This window comes from Homo sapiens, chromosome 10 (assembly GCF_000001405.40).
Source record: "Homo sapiens chromosome 10, GRCh38.p14 Primary Assembly".
Lineage (NCBI taxonomy): Eukaryota > Metazoa > Chordata > Mammalia > Primates > Hominidae > Homo > Homo sapiens.
The window spans coordinates 89,526,698-89,547,415 of NC_000010.11; the positions used below are offsets into that span (position 1 = coordinate 89,526,698).

Here is a 20,718-nt window from a genome sequence, read left to right on the forward strand (position 1 = left end):
CTCAGATAGCAGAAGGGGCCACCAGAAAGGAGCCCAAAGGTGGAAGCTGGACATCGGTCCGCCACCCATTGCCCTCATGCCCTGTAACACAGCTCCAGAGGTGCTCCCTGATACTCCCAGGAATGTGCAAAATACAGTTTAAAATCTACTGGCCAAAATCCATTAAGAAATCAAGAACAGAACACCTACTCAGATAGCAGAAGGGGCCACCAGAAAGGAGCCCAAAGCTGGAAGCTGGACATCGGTCTGCCACCCATTGCCCTCATGCCCTGTAACACAGCTCCAGAGGTGCTCCCTGATACTCCCAGGAATTTGCAAAATACAGTTTAAAATCTACTGGCCAAAATCCATTAAGATTTTTATTCGTGGATAAAAATTTATTTATTTTTATTACAAAATCAACAGTTAAAGTGTAATTTGGGGAAGCTAACTGGTAACAGTGGGTGAGAATCTCCATGAGCATTAAAACCAAATAAGAACAAATTAAAAAAAATAAGGGGCTGAGTAGGGCGTGGTGGCTCATGCCTGTAATCCCAGCACTTTGGGAGGCCGAGGTGGGCAGATCACTTGAGGTCAGAAGTTTGAGACCAGCCTGACCAACGTGGTGAAACCCCGTCTCTACTAAAAATACAAAAATTAGCCGGGTGTGGTGGCAGGTGCCTGTAATCCCAGCTACTCAGGAGGCTGAGGCAGGAGAATCGCTTGAACCCAGGAGGCAGAGGTTGCAGCAAGCCGAGATCATGCCATTGCACTCCAGTCTGGGTGAAAGAGTGAGACTCCACCTCAAAAAAAAAATAATAAAACTAAAAAAATAAGGGGCTGGCATGGTAGCTTACATCTATAATCTCAGCACTTTGGGAGGCTGAGGAGAGAGGATTGCTTGAGCTCAGGAGTTTAAGTCCAGCCTGGAAAAACATAGTAAGACTCCATTTCCATTTCTACAAAAAAAAAAAAAATTATTTATCTGGGCATGGTGGTGCCCACCTGTAGTTCCAGCTACTTTGGAGGCTGAAGCAGGACTGCCTGAGCCTAGTAGTTCAAGGCTGCAATGAACCATCATTGCACCACTGCACTCCAGCCTGGGTGACAGTGAGACCCCATCTCTTAAAAAAAAAAAGAGAGAGAGAGAGAGAGAAAAGAAAAAAAGAGGTGAATTCTAAGTAGGAGTAGTCTACTAGATAAATCTTCAGAATCTGTATCAGTCACCTCACCACATTTTCTCAAAAACAATAAATCCTAATGACAAGGAAAGCTCTAAAATTAATCATACTTTGTTGAAGTCACATAGGGCAAGGTTTAAACTCCTATCTTTCTTACGTAAGAGTCCTATATAATATCTTTCTTATATAAAAGTCTGGCCAGGCATGGTGGCTCATGCCTGTAGTCCTAGCAACTTGGGAGGTTGAGATGGGAGGATTGCTTGAGCCTGGGAGGTCGAGGCTGCAGTGGGCCCTGATAAGGCCACTGCACTCCAGCCTGGGTGACAAAGAGAGACCCTGTCCCAAGATAACCCTTTTTATTTAATTTGATGCAATTGAATAAAAACAGAAAGTTTTCAGAGAAAGTTTGAGTATTAAGGTTGACAACTCAATCAATTTAAAGAAACACATAATAAAGGACACATCTGTAAGTATTTTAGAGGAAACACATTATTGTTGTAGAGTAAAAGGCCAAATTATTGTCCTAAACAAAAATACCCATATGGTACCACAATCATCAAAAACTTGAAAATAGTTGGTTAATTAATTCATTGGTTGACAGTAATTATATCAATTGTGTTGATTTGGTTGTTTTGACATCTTATACACATAAGCCTAGTGAATTCCACAGAGAAGAAAAAAAATCACTGAACATTCATTCAACCATTGGGAAAAGCTTTCCATATAATGAATGGGCCCTCTATAGAGAAAATGCACACACAAAAAATTTCCATTATATGTTAAGAATATACCACACATGAAATTTTATGTTTCAATAAAATTTTTTTCTAAAGAGGCACAAAATTATTATTACATATGTCCATAGTTTCTCAACCCTGGCTGTACATGAGATTCACCAGAGAGATTTAAAAACTATCAATACCCTAGCCCTGTATCTCAGACCTACGGAATCAGAATTTTTCAGAGTAGGACATTGGTACCAGTTTTTTTCCTTCCTCAGGTGATTCTAATGTGTAGGTGGGGTTGAGAACCATTGATACAGAGTCTTCAATCAACTGATTTATGGATACTAGGTTGTCAGGTGTCAACCTGAACAGACCATTTATTTTTTATATCATTTATGCCTGTGAGTTTGGGCTACCCCTATTCATAACTATTTAATAATGATGATTAAGGCTGGTTTTTGATAGTTGTCTGGTTGAACTATCACTGCCTGAAGAAGCAGCATTCTGTTCTCCCTTATGAGATTTAACTTTGTCGTGAGTTTTTATTTTTTTGGTGGTTCCTTCGGGGGCTATGAATGTGGTTGCTTTGAAGTTACAGGTTCAGAGAGCTGAAATTTCTGTTTCAAGAAATACATCTGGTTTCAGTAGATAAATATGAACTCACTCCCATGGAAAGTATTCCATCAAGCAAAGTGGAATCCCAAAATAAGTAATTATGGCCCTAATTTATAATATGTCAAATAAACCACAAAATGATTAATTGTGCTCAGGAATATTTTGAAAAAAACATAGTCTACAAATGATTTGGGTGATAATTTTTAAGTATTGGTATAGTTAACACTTTATGTAGCTACTTTGTTTACATATATGAACCACCGAGCCAGAAGACGGTGTTAGGGGGAAACAGTTGCTGATTTTTATGGTGATTCAGAAGTTGGGAAACTGAGTCCCAATTTCCTTTACAGTCTTTTTTTTTTTTTTTTTTGAGACAGTCTCTCTCTGTTGCCCAGGCTGGAGTGCAGTGGCACAATCTCGGCTCACTGCAACCTACACCTCCCAGGTTCAAGCCATCCTCCTGCCTCAGCCCCCCTAGTAGCTGGGATTACAGGCACGTGCCACCACGCCCAGCTAATTTTTGTATTTTTAGTAGAGACGGGGTTTCGCCATGTTGGCCACGCTAGTCTCGAACTCCTGACCTCAGGTGATCCACCCGCCTCAACCTCCCAAAGTGCTGGAATTACAGGCATGAGCCACTGCACCCGGCCTCCTTTACAGTCTTAAGTGACTAATGCTATATCTATAAGAGGCTCATAGACATGGAATTTCTCTCTAGATACAGAAATGAGTTATTTTCAAAATATACAGGGTACCCTCAGAAATGGAAACATTAGAAGCTCTCAGCAGTAAAGTAATCAGAAGTCAGGAAAAGCAGAGTCAAAAAGTTGATACAACATATTTTGAACATTTTGTTTCAATTCCTTTCATAAACAAAAAATTCATTCACTAATCTTTGGATATTGGGTCATGATTGGAGTTCTATGTTATTTTTCTTGGTTAATCCACATCCAGATTTCCTGCTTCCATTTCTTAAAGAGGATCAGGACCTTATTGGAGCTTGTGAAAAAACCTGAATGCAAAATCATTCTAGAAATTTTTACTGTACTCTTCAAATCTCTTATCACTATGCCACACCTAAGTACTCATCCCTCTTCCTTTTGTAATTTGCTTGTTCATGTTGCTTTTTAAAAAGCTTTATAGTCCTTTTATAAATTGAGATAAAATTCACATAAACTTCACTATTTTAATACTTTTAAAATGTAAAATTTGGTGGTTTTTTTTTTTCTTTTTTTTCTGAGACGGAGTCTCGCTCTGTTGCCCAGGCTGGAGTGCAGTGGCGGGATCTTGGCTCACTGCAAGCTCCGCCTCCTGGGTTCATGCCATTCTCCTGCCTCAGCCTCCCGAGTAGCTGGGACTACAGGCGCCTACCACCACGCCCGGCTAATTTTTTGTACTTTAGTACTAGAGACGGGGTTTCACCGTGTTAGCCAGGATGCTCTCGATCTCCCGACCTTGTGATTTGCCCGCCCCGGCCTCCCAAAGTGCTGGGATTACAGGTGTGAGCCACGGCGCCCGGCTGGTGGTTTTCATATATTTACAATGTTGTGCAACCACCACCCCATTATCTAATTCCAGAACATAGCCGTCACCCCAAAAAGGAACCTTGCATCCATCATCAGTCACTCTCTATTTCCCCTACCCCACTTCCCTGGCAATCACTAATCCACTTTTTGTTCATATGCATTTGCTTATTATGGACATTTCATATAAATCATACAACATGTGGTCTTTGTATCTGGCTTCTTTCACTTAGCATAATGTTTTCAAGGTTCATCCATGTCGCAGCATGTGTTGATATATTTTTTTTAACATTACTTACTTTTATGGGTCCATATAGCGATCAACTTAGTTTTCACAGAAATACCATTCTTTGTTTAGCATTCATATTACATCGGTTTAGGCAATATTTCATTAAATCACAAAATTACAATAGCATCCTGGCACTTTGGGAGGCCAAGGCAGGCAGATCACCTGAGGTCAGGAGTTCGAGACCAGCCTTGCCAACATGGTGATATCCTGTCTCTACTAAAAAAAAAAAAAGTACAAAAATTAGCCAGGCATGGTGGTGGATGCCTGTAATCCCAGCTACTCAGGAGGCTGAGGTGGGAAAATTACTTGAACCAGGGAGGCGGATGTTGCAGTGAGTCGAAATACACCACTGCACTCCAGCCTGGGTGACAGAGCAAGGCTCTGTCTCAAAGAAAAAAACAAAAATACAATAGCAAAGTACAACTGGCATAAACTGGACTGTAACCAAACACCGCTGTAAGCATGCACCTGACCTAGTAACAGCCAAGTATACAAATTTATTAAGATGATAGCTATTTCCCACAGCGGTCTCTGTGTCTGAGCAACCACCAGGATGTGGTTCAGAGGAGGAGAGCATTGGTTAATCCAATGAGTTGTTTCAGTGTTGGGCAGTATTTCATTAAGCAGAACAGAGTCACATGCATGTAGAGGGGCAGAGAGGTGATAAGTGTCTATTATATGACCCAACACAGCCTCAACTGGTTCCCAAGAGGAAGTTCTCTACGTGTCTTCAAAAAGAGGCAAGGATGTGCTGCCATAAAGATAGGTATATCCTCTGCCTCTATAAAAGCTTTACCGTGCTTTACCATCTTTCAAGAAGCAACTCCAATGGGCCCTCCTCTACAAAGTCTTCCCTAACCCTCAAATCTTCACAGTGCCTGCCTGCTCTCTCTTCTTCCTTTTAATTCCCAAAGTACTTATGCATCTCTTATGGTAGTTTGAATCGGTATGATAGCTAGCCATACAATGTCCTCTCTTCCATACCAGGATGTAAGCTGCATCAGAGGCATGTTCTGTGTCTTTACACGTCCTGCTGTCACCAGCACCAGAAAAGAGATGCTCAAAACACAGTCTTCACACAAATCCTTATACAAATCTTTTAATAAGAAGTAGAAGTTCAATAAATATTCATTAAATTAATAAATGAATGAGCACACTAATTAAATAATTAATTAATTTCATGCAACATCTTACCTGGCTACAGCAATTAACCCTACTCGTCAATGCGCGGTAAATGAAGGAAGGATATGTATCTGATGGGGCACAGTGGTGGGTGAATGAAGAAAAAAAAATCAGCTACTCCAGGTGCCTAGCATGCATCAGAAATTGTGACTGTTCCCCAAATGTTCAACAGACACCACCTTCAAACAGGACATTGTTAGATAATGACACTTTCTGATGTCCTTTGATGTAGAGCACATTAAAAATATTATCAGAGGGAAAATCTTTCTGTTCAAAATCCCCCAACCTCTTCAACTGTGTATTTAGTTTTCATCAATTAAATTATTATATCATTTCAATGGGTGACTTTTTATATACACTGGAAAGGTACTCATAAGAAAATAGCTTCCAAATTGGCAATTTTTAAAAGCAAAGCAACTGGTTAGGTGAGGAATGCATAAACAACCCCAAAAGCGGCACTGAATACTTTTCTTTGGCTGTATACGACTGAAAAACTGCCAAGTTCATTTCGATAAGCCTTTGTTAAAAACAATAAACATGCCTGAGCTTGCAAACTATGCTGTTTTGAAGAAAAAGCAATTGAGAGAATTAGAAAATGCTTAAAACTGGAATGTCTAATAGTCTATGAATATGGAGGAAAGTGGGGGACAAAATGTAAAGTGAGACAAAATAACAACAGAACACCATCTTCATAAATAAATAAAAAGCAACATCTTATAAACTAATTTAATTAGTCTCCAATACTAACATGGTACCACTAACACTCTTAAGAAAACAAATCATCCCGTGCTTCAAGTTTAGTCACCAAGGTGATCTCCCTGCAATAAAGGAAATGTAATTTCATTGACTCCAAATGAACATATATTAAATAACCAAATGTGGGAACTGCAATTCACTTACAGTAAAATGTCAGCTCATAAAAGTCAAAGTAACTTCACCTGAATTTGTTTTTTTGTTGTTGTTGTTGTCGTTTTTAGTTTTTTTTTTTTCCATGATTATAAGATTCTCAGAATTGCAGGATTGGAAGGAAGATAGTTTGGATCACTTATGTTTATTTTCCTGCTTAGGTAAAACTGAAATTCTCTTGTACCTGCCTAAGAAATCCTGGAAAAATTCTAGTGAATAAATTGCAACTTGAGCTCTATAGGATCAAAGTTCTTTGTTTTGTTCATTGACATATCCCAAATGCCCAGAACAGCACTAGGCATACAGTAGGCACTCAATAAATATCTGCTCAATTGAACTAAATTGAAAAATATGCAGTGCAATGCAATGTTAAATAAGTCACTTTGAAACTCCTTTCTTAGCTTTGTTTTGGTCATAGTATTAATCACAATAAACAAACAGTCCTCATATAAAACACTTCAACACTATAATTCATGTTTTTACTTCTGATCGATCATTACCATAGAGGGTGCTGAGAATCAGAAAAGACTCCAAGGAAAGATGGGGGTAGAGTTACTCCCATCTATTTGGACTAATTTTCTTCTTCTGGGCATTCACCTGAGAAGTATCTGTATATCCATAATATAAAAATAATTTAAAATATTACTTAAAATTAAAGGTTTGCACCTTTAAAAATTGTGCCACAAAAGCAATTTGATTAAATCAACCTCTCATCTATTTCAGAATCCCATCAGTTAAAAAAAAAAAACATAAAAAATAAGAACAGGAAAATGATGTGATTAGGTGATGCTAGTCATATTATTTTTGCTCAAAATGCCTAGAGGCAATATGCCTTGGAAAACTGAGTTAGGTGGGAATGAGAAGATCTGGATTCTAGTGTTGATTCCATCACCAGTTAACAGTATGAATTCAGCCAATCCTTGCCAATCTGGATCTGAGCTTCCTGGGCTGTAACGTGAAGAGTTTGAATTTAGTAGATGGTCTCCAAAGCCTTTCAGTTTCAAAGTTTCTCTAAACCCTGTAATTATAAGTGACTAAATCCAGTTCACCTAATTACTACCACTACTCTTTTACATCCTTCATTTCTTCAGCAAACATCCGGTCACCTTGGGGGCGCAGGGGGTGGAGGATGTCAAACACCATTAGCCACAGTTTGGCACGACATTTATGGAGGGGGAGCGACAAACAATGCAAGGGCAGCTAGCTGATGATTTTAACTGTTAGCGAGCTTACACCTGTGGAGCGAATGTGTTTCTGAATTTGAAAGGCCGGAAGATTTTCCCCCTGGGCTAAGCTGGTGACGCCGCGGGAGTGCCTAGCTCTGAGCAAAGAACCAGGTAGGATGAACTAATTAGAGGCTCTTCAAAAGGAGAGTGTTTAACCAGTTTCCTGGCAGGACTCACCTGACTAGACATTTTTAAAAATTATGGCCAGGCACGGTGGCTCACGCCTGTAATCCCATCACTTTGGGAGGCTAAAGCGGGCAGATCGCTTGAGCCCAGGAGCTCGAGAGCAAACCGGCCAATATGTCGAAATCCTGTATCTGCAAAAAAAAAAAAAAAAAAAAAAAAAAATCCAAAAATTAGCCGGGCGTGGTGGCGCGCACCTTTAGTCCCAGCTACTCCAGATGCTGGGGAGGGAGGATCGTTGGAGCCGGGGAGGCGGAGGTTGCAATGAGCTGAGATCGCGCCACTGCACTCCAGCCTGGGCGACAGAGCGAGACCTTGTCTCTAAATAAATAAATAGTATAAGAGGTTTAGAATGCTGATGTGTGAAAACGGAAGACTAACCAAATAGCCCCAGGACTTACTGAAATTGTGCTTCAAAATTTTGTTACGAACGCTTTTCCGAGTCCACAATACAGGTATCACTGGTTTATTTGTGGACAAGAAGCAACTGAGAAATTGAGTTCAATCCACTGAAAGCCGGTGTGTTTTTAATATAGCACACACGGGAAATAAATATTATTGTCTGAGGTGGGGGACGGGGAGAGATTTTTAAAATGTACTATAAACATAAAATCCAGAAGAAAGATGGTCTCTATTCCACCGAGAAGTCTGCATTTGAAAACCACAAGAGATGGAGATCAAAGCCGCTCGTTCTCCAGCCACCTGCCCAAAAACTCGGCCGCAGCGCAGACCCAACCCAGACAGGGCAAGTGAGCACGTGTCTCCCTCCCAACCCAAGCTGCGCGCCGACGCACCCAAGTTAGGGTCCCAGGCTCCCGGCGCGGGATGGGCGCTAGGGCAGCGGAGAATGGAGGGTCCCCGTCCTCCTCCAGCTCCAACGACAGCGCCAGCGCCCCGCCGTCCCGCCGCCCTTCCTTGAAGGATGCCCGTGTCACCTGAGCCACCGCGCCCTCTGCACAACCGTGTCAGGGAGAGGGAAGAGGGGGAGCCGAGGAAGCTTCTTGGCCAGGGCGCTGGGGATCCGGGAGCGGGGGCCGCCGGCGAGACTGAGCCCGGGACAGCCCAGAGCTCCAGCGCTCCAGCGCTCTGCAGCCCGCCCAGAGCGCGCAGACCACCCCCATGCCCCGCCCGCCCTCCTGCCACACCCGCCCCCAGCCCGGCCCCGCCGCCTCCTCACCTCGCCGGGACCACTGCAGCCCTGGCGGTAGCGCGCGGACATGCCCCCGGGGCGCACCCGCCGAGCCGCGTCCCTGCGCAGTGGCCCCTTCCCGGGCCCCAGGCTGCGCGATCCGCGCTTCGGTGGGGCGGGGAGCGGACTGGGCGGAGGCGCCGGCGAGGCTGGGGCCGGGGGCCTAGCTGGCAACGCCGGGAGAGGGAAGCGTAGCGCGGAAAATCCCAGTGCTCGGCCTTCGAAATGCACCGGCTCATTCAGCCCCGCCAGCTCCGCCGGGGACTCTGCCTGGCCGGCAAAGAGGATTTAGCGCGGGGATCCGCTCTAAGTACTGTGGCTTGGCTAGGGGCGAGGGGCGCAGCGGAGGAGGGACGTCTCGCGGTTATGTAATGCACCGGCTTTCTGTGTCCCCAGCCAAACCGCTCTAGGACTGCCGGACCCTCCCCGGGAAGAGCCATGACCCCTGACCTCGGCAAGCCGAGGGGAGCTCGGTGTTCCCAAAAAGAACTTTTCCCCTCAGGGTCAAAGAGCAAGATCTCGAGAAAAAATACAAGGCCTCCTTTAGGTGTATCTGGCAGGGATCCGGACCCTGCTAGCCAATCCTTCCCATTTCACAGCACAGGAAACTGAAGCTCCAGAATGCTAGTGAAAAGCGTTATCTCTTGGAGTCAAAAGGACCTGGGTTCAACGCATCTGAAAATCTCATAACCTTGGGCAATTTAACTCTCTGAGCCTCACTTTTGCTTGTAAAACAAAGGATGATAGCGCCCACTTCATGTTGTTGCTGCGAGTATGAAATGAGTGAGGTGTAGGCGCCCGGTACATAATACAATTCCCCAAACGTTGACTCAAAGCCTGAAAAGGGAGCTGCCAGGACGTACCCCACGTAGGACAGGTTCCAGGCGAACTTTCTGTAAAGTCCTCTCCTTGTCAGAAGCAAGGCCTCTGAACTGACAAGGTCTGGTTCCAATATCTTGGAGCCTACGTCCTCACTTCTTCAAGAGTGGCCCGTAGACCAACAGCGAGGTCATCACCTGGGTGCTTGTTAAAAATGCGGAATCTCAGGCCCAACCGCGGATCAGAATCTGCATTTTTTGCAAGATTCCCTGGTGATTTCGCTGTATGTCAAAATTTCAAAATGAATTAGGCTTTTTGGAATTATTATTATTATTATTTTTGAGAAGCAGTCTCGCTCTGTCGCCCAGGCTGGAGTGCAGTGGTGCGATTTTGGCTCACTGCAACCTCCGCCTCCCTAGTTCAAACGATTCTCCTGCCTCAGCTTCCGGAGTAGCTGGGATTACGGGCGCGTGCCACCACGCCCAGCTAATTTTTTGTATCTTTGGTAGAGACGGGATTTCACCATGTTGGCCAGGCTGATCTCGAACTCCTGACCTCATGATCTGCCCGACAAAGAGTTACTGATGAACAGTAGGGAGCATTTGCCACGCAGCAAGGCACCGTAGGTATGTTTTTTTTTTTTTTTTTTTTGGGAAGGAGTCTCGTTTTGTTTGTTTTCTAAAGAAGGGATTTCACTATGTCGCTAAGGCTAGAGTGCTGTGGTGCGATCATAGCTCATTGCAGTCTCGAACTCCTAGGCTCAAGGGATCCTCCTGCCTCAGCCTCCCCAAGCACTGGGATTACAGGCTTGAGCCACTGTGCAAGCCAGGGGTTTTTTTAAATAGTCTAGTATAGTCCTTTCTCATTTTACCCTCTGGCTATTTTTAGTCATCCCCCTCCTCTCAGTTTCCTGCCCTTTAACTATAAATCTGAATTTAAGTCCTATTTTCACTTGCAAAAAACCCTAGGTTAGATTTAAGTGATGATTAGTGAATAAATGTTCAAAACTCACAAAAGAAAGAACAAATACAGCTTGTAAAAGAATTCATTAGCATTGAAAATGAACCTGTAAATGTAGAGGCTGCCATGAGTGAGCCCTGACCTCTCAGCCGTGAAGGTCTTTAGGTTAAAGGCTTGAATACCTTTGAGTTTCAGAAAAATGCTTCTTTCAGTTAAACATTGCTTTGGGTGGCAAATAAGTCTCACTTTCCATTTAAATAATGTAGGACAACAGTTTTTAAAGTTTTGGAGACTAGGACACCGCACAAGGCTTCCTTTCGTCTAAGTCACCACTTACAGGGGGCTCTAGCAAAGACCAAAGCTAATACTGTGTTTATTCTATTCAATGCTGTGTCACTGATGTTGTTGTTTCATTAGAAGTTCAGATTTTGTGTGTCTGATTCTATCTCTGGCAGGATGATTTTCATCCTTTACGAGTTCAGTAACTGTGGGTTGATGATGGTGATGGTGAGTGCAATGCGTATAGGCAGTGCCGGATACAGACGGGTCACTTCTGTGTGCCTACCCCTTTGGGGTTCCACGCTCAAGACCTGACATAGCTGCTGACAGGCAGCATGGAAGTGGAGAAAGGGAGATGCACAAAGCAAAACAATCTCCTTTCACTGAGGCTGGAGGATTGGGGGTGGAGAATGTTGGACTGCTATCGCTGTGCAGAAGAAAAGCAAAGCAAAGGAACCCTAGAATCCAACCTAGGAGGAAAGGGAAGGAGCAACATTTCTTCCAAATAGCACTGTCCAACAGAATTTTCTACAGTGATGGAAATGTGCTATGTTTGCACAGTCCCAACACGGCTATAAAATATGGCTATTTACATTTTAGTTAATTAATTATAATCGTAATTAAAATTGAGGTTTCTTGTGTGTGTTTTGCTTTTTTCTTTTTTACTACTAGTCTGTTGCACTAATCACCTTTCAAGTGCTTCACTCCAAGATGTGGCTAATGTCTACCATACTGGATAGCACTCAAAACGTTTTCTTCATCACAGAAAGTTCTACTGGACAGTGACGCTTAGAGGCCAGGATTTTGGTAAAGAAATGAGCCCAGATACCCAGCTTTTCCAAGTCATAGTCAGAACTTCATCTGTCTAAAAGCAAGTAATAGAATGAAAATTAAACCTACATCGAGGCTTTGTGATAATCAAAATGAGTTAATCTATAGAATGTATTTAATTCAATGCCTTGCATATTATACATGTGTAAAAAATATTAATCCTTATTAGTATTAATAGTCTTTTACCTTAAAAATATTGGGGAATGACAAAGATTTTTTTCCTTGGCCAAACTTTAGTCAGGCTCCTGAACTTTCTCCTAAGACCATGTGTGTATTTCCTTGTAAATTCCAGTTTATCAAAGAACCCGGCAAAATCAGTTTGGCAATAACGTCCCTTCCCATTGACAACTGATCACCCAAGGGTTCCTCATCCTCCACTGTCCTCCAGGTGATATCTAATCACCTTGGCCTGTCTTTAGTAAGAATCCTGTTAGGTCGATTTAACTAGAGTCCCATATCCTGTTTCTTGGCTATAAATTCCGATTTTCCTCTGCTGTATTCATAGTGGAGCCCCATCTCTCTACCCTACTGCAAGTCTTCGTTGTAGTGGTCCCTGTATCTGTCTCAATGGTCCTGAATAGTCTTCTTTACCATGCTGTAACAAGTGACATTGAATATTTTTTTTCTTTAATAGGGACATGGCATTAATGGTACATCATTATTAGTTAAGTAACCTTTCGCTGATGTGGTCAGCTGATCTGGTACCTCCACATGCATTAATAGTTGTGTTCTAACTTTCTCCCTTCCTCTTCTTCCCTACTCAGAATTGAGTACTATTTGTACTTTTCTGGCCTGGAGGCACAGAATATTTTGTCAAATCCCTACCATTTGTAGCCAATAAATAACACGTGTGTTAACTAAAATCCTATTGCACCATGGTTCAGTGGAATTAATTTTCAGATAGGATTCTGAGAAGCCTGACACCTTAGGGTACATCCATTATGAAAAGAATTGTTTGTTCCTGTTATTTGGTCAAACAAGAATGTGTGGACTCAGTACAGAAAAAAAGGGAACATTGGCTACAGATAAGTAATATTTGGGGTGTCCAGGTCAAGATAGAAGCTACTGGAAGGTTGGGGGTTGAGGATGAAACCTTAAGGCTTTTGCCTAAATAGAATTTGAAATTTTGTTCTCATGACTAATTAAGATTTTAGGACTAAATACAAACAGCATAAATAAGATGCAAGTATTTTACGTAGTCAGCTGTACAGATTAGGGCAATACATGGACAAGGAAATAGTGAAATTCTTCCTTAGACACCAAGAAACAAATTTTTCTTTCTTTCTTTCTTTCTTTCTTTCTTTCTTTCTTTCTTTCTTTCTTTCTTTTTTCTTTTTTTCTTTCTTTCATTACTTCCTTCTTTCTCTTTCTTTCTTCTTTCTTTCTTTCTCTCTTTCTTTCTTTCTTTTCTCTCACCCTTCCTTCCTTCTTTCCTTCCTTCCTTCCTTTCTTTTCTCTGGCTCTCTCTTTTTTCTTCCTTTCCTTCTTTCTTTGCCTCTTTTTCTTTCTTTCTTTCTTCTTTTGTTGCTTCTGAGACAGAGCCTCACTCTGTCACCCAGGTTGGAGTGCAGTGGCATCGTCACAGTTCACTGCAGCCTTGATTACCTAGGTTCAAGAGATCCTCCCACCTCAGCCTCCCAAGTAGCTGGGACTACAGCCACCCACCACCATGCCTGGCTAGTTTTTGTATTTTTTGTAGGGACAGAGTTTTGCCATGTTGCCCAGGCTGGTCTCAAACTTGTGGGCTCAAGCGATCCTCCCGCCTTGGCCTCCCAAAGTGCTGGGACCACAGCCGTGAGCCACCATGCCCAGCCTAGAGTCCACCTTCTTTATCATCTTTTTTTGTTCCTCTTTCACCAGTCCACTCTTTTCTATGAGCACTTTCTTAGACTTTAGCCCCTATTTCCACTGTCCTTTCTTAATGTATATCTCCATCCCAGCCTCATGACTGTAGCTAATACCTGCTGTCAACGGCAGTGCGTTTCCAGTTCTGACCTCCCTCTGAACTCCAATTCTTGTTGCCAGATAGCCAGTGAATATTTTCACTTGCATTCTCCCTACACCATCACTTGGAGATTTTAAAATATCAGGAACTCAAGTCATCACTACAATCTGCTCTTAGATCCCAACAACTCTCTTCTCCGATGTCACTTAGTCTCTGGAGCTAACATTCTCTCATTTACTATGACTCAAAGCTATGTCATCATTTTAACCCATTTATCTTTCTGGAGTCATGGTATAACTGAAAGGCATTGAATTTGAAATCAGAAAACCGAAGTAAAAAATCTCATTTCTACCACTTCTTACCAAGACAAACTAAGCAAATTTCTTTTTTTTTTTTCCCTTTTTTTTTTTGACAAGGAGTCTCACTCTATTGCCCAGGCTGGAGTGCAGTTGTACAATCTCGGCTCAATTTAAGCTCTGCCTCCTGGGTTCATGACATTCTCCTGCCTCAGCCTCCTGAGTAGCTGGGACTATAGGTGCCCACCACCACGCCAGGCTAATTTTTTTTTTTGTATTTTTAGTAGAGAGGGGGTTTCACTGTGTTAGCCAGGATGGTCTCGATCTCCTGACCTCGTGATCCGCCCGCCTCGGCCTCCCAAAGTGCTGGGATTACAGGCGTGAGCCACCACGCCTGGCTGCAAATTTCTTAACATCCCACCTCTCGAGCCTCAGATTTCTCATCTATAAAATAAAATCACCAGTACTATTCAAAAAACATGGATTGAGGATGGGTATGGTGGCTCATGCCTGTAATCCAACATTTTGGGAGGCTAAGACCAGAGGATCACTTGAGGCCAGGAGTTCTAGACCAGCCTAGGCAACATACTGAGACCCCGTCTCTACAAAAAAATTTTAAAAATTAGCTAGACATGGTGGTGAGCACCTGTAACCCCAGCTACTTGGGAGGCTGAGGTAGGAGGATCTCTTGAGCACAGGAGTTCGAGGCTGTTATCGTGTTACAGCACTCCAGCTTGGGCGACAGAACTAGACCCAGTCTCTAAAAATAGAAAATAACAAATAAAGGGTTGAGCAGCTACATATCCCAGTTTCTGTGCTAATTAGGTTAGACCCTCAAGGTCTGCGCTACTGATATTTTAGGCCTGACAATTCTTTGTTGTGGGGCTCCCCTGTGCATTGTAGAACATTTAGCAGCATCTTTTGTGTTTGCCCATTAGGTGCCAATAGTAATGCCCTAGTTGTGACAATCAAAATTTTTTTCAGATATTGCCAAATATTTCCACTAGGTTAGGTTGTGCAAACTTTTATGTCATTTTTTTCTGAAATATGTGTTTGATATTATTATTTTGTGTCTCCAAATTAAGTTTTCTAATATTATTTAATTTTCATAATATTAAGAGCAATTCTTTGGAGGAAGGATTGTGAGGAAATTTATTGATATTTTTTTAGTTCCTGTGATATCCCAGGGGCGATAGTGCCTTTCTCTCCGGGTGCTTTGAGGATTACATGAGATGACAAATACGAGAGTGGCGGGCACAGCCTGACCCAGGTCACTGTTTGAAGAATGTGGATGTCTACTCATTCATGAAGCTCTGTGAAGGTGAGGTGTTCTCTGAAGATCACAGGTAGAAGACTATTTTTACAAAAATATTCAATTTAGATCATATTGTTATGAATTATTATTATATGCTAACAAATATTATTTTTGAATTTAAACAACAATAAAGCAAATTTCTTCTGTTATATTTTCTTTTTTTTTCTTTTTTTTTTTTTTGAGATAGAGTCACACTCTGTCCCACAGGCTGGAGTGCAGTGGTGTGATCTCGACTCATGGCAACTGCCGTCTCCTGGACTCAAGTGATTCTTGTGCCTCAGCCTCCTGAGTAACTGGGACTACAGGCATGCACCACCACGTCTGGGTAATCTTTGTATTTTTCAGTAGAGATAGGGTTTCACCATGTTGGCCAGGCTGGTCTTGAACACCTGGCCCCAAGAGATCCACCCACCTTGGCCTCCCAAAGTTCTGGGATTACACGTGTGAGCCACAGTGTCTGGCCTGTTATATTTTCTTAATAGTTTTATCTCCCTATCTATTGTCACTGATCTCCAGACTCATCTTCCGTCATGCATGGCTCACTAGAACCACTATACTTCCATTACTTTAGCCTCTCTCCCCGCCCAACTATACAGCTAATTTCTTGACACTGTGCCTTATATTCTTTCTACTGGAAACTCTGGCCATTCCTATTCCCCATATTTACTTCATCGAAATGGGACTCTTTTGCCTGTTGGTTGGCCAAAGTCCTCTTCCAACAGCCTCCTATCCACCCTTCATTATCATGCTTCTCAACACTAATGGGCACCCTCTGTTACATCCTCATTCTTGTTCTGTGAAGTCGCCATGCACATTCCTACCCCTGTTCTTTCACCCATACTCTTTCCCATGTCTGGGCTACCCCTTCCTTTCTGTCTTCTGCCTACGGAGATCTAACAGCATCATTGAAGGTCCAATTCAAATCCCAACTTCTAGTGATATCTGTAACTTCCCTTGAAAGGCATTTACAAAAGATGCTTAATGGTTAGAGAGAAGGATGGACAGATGGATAGTTATATGATAAAGCAAATTTAGTAAATTTTAAATCTAGAATCTAGGTAGAAACATATAGGTGTTCACTGGATAATCTTTTTGACTTTTTTTCTGTTTCAAATTGTCATAATAAAATAAAAATAATTTAAAACTTAAAAATAAAACAAACATCCCAGTTTATTCACAAAGCCTTCCCATCCAACTCTAGTGATAGTCATTAAGAACCCAAGTTTATACATCAGACAGATTTGAATTCACGGCTTAGCTCCCCCTCTTGCTAGCTGGGTGATTTGGGGCAAGTTGTATAATAACTCAGAACTTCATTTTCCTCATTTATAAAATGAACATAATAATAACACTTCATAGGTGTTGTGGAGGCTAATTGAGATTTGTACTTATAAAAGTGCTTAGCTGGCTGGGTGCAGTGGCTCATACCTGTAAACCCAGCACTTTGGCAGGCCAAGACAGGAGGATTGCTTCAGCCCAAGAGTTTGAGATCAGCCTAGGCAATATGGTGAAAACCTGTCTCTACCAAAAAAAAAAGTTAAAAACTTAGCTAGGCATGGTGGCACATGCCTGTGGACCCAGCTACTTGGGAGGCTGAGGTGGGAGGATCACTTGAGCCCAGAAGGTCAAGGCTGCAATGAATGATGATTGTGTCACTGCACTCCAGCCTGGGCAACACAGCAAGACCTTGTCAAAAAAAAAATGGATAAATGGATAAAGTGCTTAGCACAATAGCTGAAGCCTAGTAAGTGCCCAATATGTGTCAGCAGAAAATACAAATGCTCCTCCCTTGAATGCCTAGAGTGTAAGCTATTTGACGGCAGTAACTCTGTCTCATTTACCATTCCCACTATGTCCACAGAGTAGAAACTTGAGCTTTGTAGAATGAGTAAATGTTCACCGTATAACACCTTTGTTGTTTACCTCTGTTGCTCTTCCTCTGGGAGACTCATTCAGTTGGTATTTCTGAAGCATCTACTATGAACAAAGGAGCAGCCATGAGCAGAACCATTATGGCCCCACACCTAACCCAATACTTTATCCCTGAAATCAAGTTTCTCTAGCTGAGTGCTGCTGTGCAGGTTGGTGGTTCTCTGACCGTCTAAGGCTTCTTCTGAGAATATATTTGGAGTAGAAGTATATGTTTAAGTGGAGAATAGACAAAAGAGAAGAGTTACTGGTGCTGTCTCCCAACCAGATGTGGAGTATGAAGAAAAGGAGGTGATACATTCCCCATGGTCTGACCCACAGACTTTATGACCTACCCTTTTTGGATCCCATTGGATCAGTTCGATCTACTGGTTTTAATAATGTTGAACTTGGTTTTCCAGTTAATTTATTCAAAATCTTTTCAAATGACTGTTCAAACTTTTATCTCATTATTTTCTGAAGTATGTATTCAGTTTTAATATTCTGTTTCTCCAAATTAAATTTAAATACAATTATTTAATTTTCATAATATTAAGAGCAATTCTTTGGAGAGAAGGTTGTGAGGAAATTTATTGAAATTTTTTAGTTCCTATGATATACCAGGCCCTGTGTATGTATTATTTCATTCCGTTCTCATAATACCTGTTTCCAATTGAGAAAAAATGGCTCAGAGTGGTTAAGTGAATTGCCCAATATCAGGCAAGTAGTAAACAGTGTCTGTTTATGAAACCAGGTCTGTCTAACTCTGGGGTAGATTGATTGTAAAAATAGCTGGGGTTTTCTCTACCACCCCTGTTTTCATATCCTTTGCAATATGACTTTGTAGCTCATTCCACAAAGAACCAGGCCTATCTCCATACTCCTTAAGTCAGGCATCATCTTATGATTGCTTTAGCCAATAGGGAAGAGAAATGATAGTGGGCCAATTCTGAGTCTAGACCTTAAGGGGTTATACCTCCATCTGGCTCTCTCTCAAATCCTGCACTGCTATGAGAACAAGCCTCAAATGGCCTGCTGGATGAGAGGACATTTGGGGCCAACCTGAGTCACCCCAGTTGAGCCCAGCCAAGACCAGCAAAGCTATCCCCTCAGCAGGCTGCAGGTGCACAAGTGAGCCTACTGAGACCAGCTGAGATCAGCAGAACCACCCAGGTAACTTACACACTCATGCACAAACAAAAATGTTTATCATCATAGCCACTGAGGTATGATGATTGTCATGCAGCATTATTTAATCAAGAAATAACTAATATAAATTCACACAACAAACTCCTTAAACTGATAAGCAACTTCAGCAAAGTCTCAGGATACAAAATCAGTGTGCAAAAATCACAAGCATTTCTTTACACCAACAGTAGACAAGCAGAGAGTCAAATCATGAATGAACTCCCATTCACAATTGCTACAAAGAGAATAAAATACCTAGGAATATAGCTAATGTGAAAGACCTCTTCAAGGAGAACTACAAACCACTGCTCAGGAAAATAAGAGAGGACCCAAACAAATGGAAAAACATTCCATCCTCATGGATAGGAAGAATCAATATTGTGAAAATGGCCATACTGCCCAAAGTAATTTATAGATTCAATGCTATTCCCATCAAACTACCATTGACATTCTTCACAGAATTAGGTAAAACTATTTTGAATTTCATATGGAATCAAAGAAAACCTCACATAGCCAAGACAATCATAAGCAAAAAGAGCAAAGTCATACTACCTGACTTCAAACTATACTACAAGGCTACAGTAACCAAAACAGCATGGTACTGGTACCAAAACAGACATATAGACCAATGGAGCAGAACAGAGACCTCAGAAATAACACCACACATCTACAACAAACTGGACAAAAAGAAGCAATGGGGAAACAATCTCCTATTCGGTAGTAAATGGTGCTGGGAAAACTGGCTAGCCATACGCAGAAAACTGAAACTGGACCCGTTCCTTACATCTTATACAAAAATTAACTCAAGATGGATTAAAGACTTAACTGTAAAACCCAAAACCATAAAAACCCTAGAAGAAAACCTAGGCAGTACCATTCAGGACACAGGCATGGGCAAAGACTTCATGACAAAAATGCCAAAAGCAATAGTAACAAAAGCCAAAATAGACAAATGGGATCTAATTAAACTAAAGAGCTTCTGCACAGCAAAAGAAATATCATCAGAGGGAACAGGCAACCTACAGAATGGGAGAAAATTTTTGCAATCTACCCATCTGACAAAGGCCTAATATCCAGCATCTACAAGGAAATTAAGTTTACAAGAAAAAAAACAACACCATCAAAAAGTGAGCAAAGGATATGGACAGACAATTCTCAAAAGAAGACATTTATGTGGCCAATAAACATATGAAAAAAGCTCAACATCACTGATCATCAGAGAAATGCAAATCAAAACCACAATGAGATACCATTTCATGCCAGTCAGAATGGCGATTATTAAAAAGTCAGGAAACAATAGATGCTGGCGAGGCTGTGGAGAAATAGGAACACTTTTACACTGTTGGTGGGAATGTAAATTAGTTCAACCACTGTGGAAGATAGTATCGCGATTCCTCAAGGATCTAGAACCAGAAATATCATTTGACCCAGCAATCCCATTACTGGGTATATACCCAAAGGAATATTAATCATTATACTATAAAGACACATGCACACATATGTTTATTGCAGCACTATTTACAATAGCAAAGACATGAAATCAACCCAAATGCCCATCAATGATAGACTGGATAAAGAAAATGTGGTACATATACACCATGGAATACTATGCAGCCATAAAAAGGAATGAGATAATGTTTTTTGCAGGGACATGGATAAAGCTGGAAACCATCATCCCCAACAAACTAACACAAGAACAGCAAACCAAACACCGCATATTCTCCCTCATAAGTGGAAGTTGAACAGTGAGAACACATGGACACAGGGAGGGGAACAACACACACCAGAGCCTGTTGGGGGGTTGGGAGGTGAAGGGAGGGAACTTAGAGGACTGGTCAATAGGTGCAGCAAACCACCATGGCACACATGTATCTATGTAACAAACCTGTACGTTCTGCACATGTATCCCCATTTTTTTTAGAAGAATGAATTTAAAAAAATTCATGCTGCCTACAGACCTTGAATATGCCTTATAAGAGTATAAGGGAAAAAAGTTTTTGCAAACACATTATCAGAAGTCTTTTGTATAGTTTTTATCATACTATTACAATCTTTTCAATTACTTGAGGAAAAAAACATTTTATTAGCAATATATTAGAAAAGAAATTATTTGTGTTTAATGAGCCAATTTAATGAATGACTAAATTGCAAACTGAACTACAGTGCATGGCTCTCTATC

At 41.7% G+C, this 20,718-nt stretch overlaps 1 protein-coding gene across 7 annotated transcripts in view, besides 1 other annotated feature; it reads right to left on the reverse strand.

Annotated features, from left to right (window-relative positions):
* Window positions 1-20,718, reverse strand: part of SLC16A12 (solute carrier family 16 member 12) — a 126,406-nt gene that overhangs the window by 96,399 nt on the left and 9,289 nt on the right. Inside the window, exons 1-2 of one of the 7 annotated variants that reach the window (NM_213606.4) lie at window positions 8,745-8,897; window positions 7,804-7,943 (exon numbers count right to left, since the gene is read on the reverse strand). The exons of 3 other annotated variants lie outside the window; for them this stretch is intronic. The gene's annotated coding sequence lies outside the window, so the exon portion shown is untranslated. Of the gene's footprint in view, window positions 1-7,803; window positions 7,944-8,603; window positions 8,898-8,986; window positions 9,278-20,718 lie in introns of those variants that run through there. 3 more of the 7 variants (XM_017016237.3, XM_017016239.2, XM_017016238.2) reach the window with 3 other exon arrangements.
* Window positions 7,164-8,063: an enhancer, noted in NCBI's record as "OCT4-NANOG-H3K4me1 hESC enhancer chr10:91293618-91294517 (GRCh37/hg19 assembly coordinates)". NCBI's record gives its function as "activates a minimal SCP1, AML or CMV promoter by ChIP-STARR-seq in naive H9 embryonic stem cells {active_cell/tissue: H9 hESC(naive)}" and the evidence as "EXISTENCE:reporter gene assay evidence [ECO:0000049][PMID:30033119]".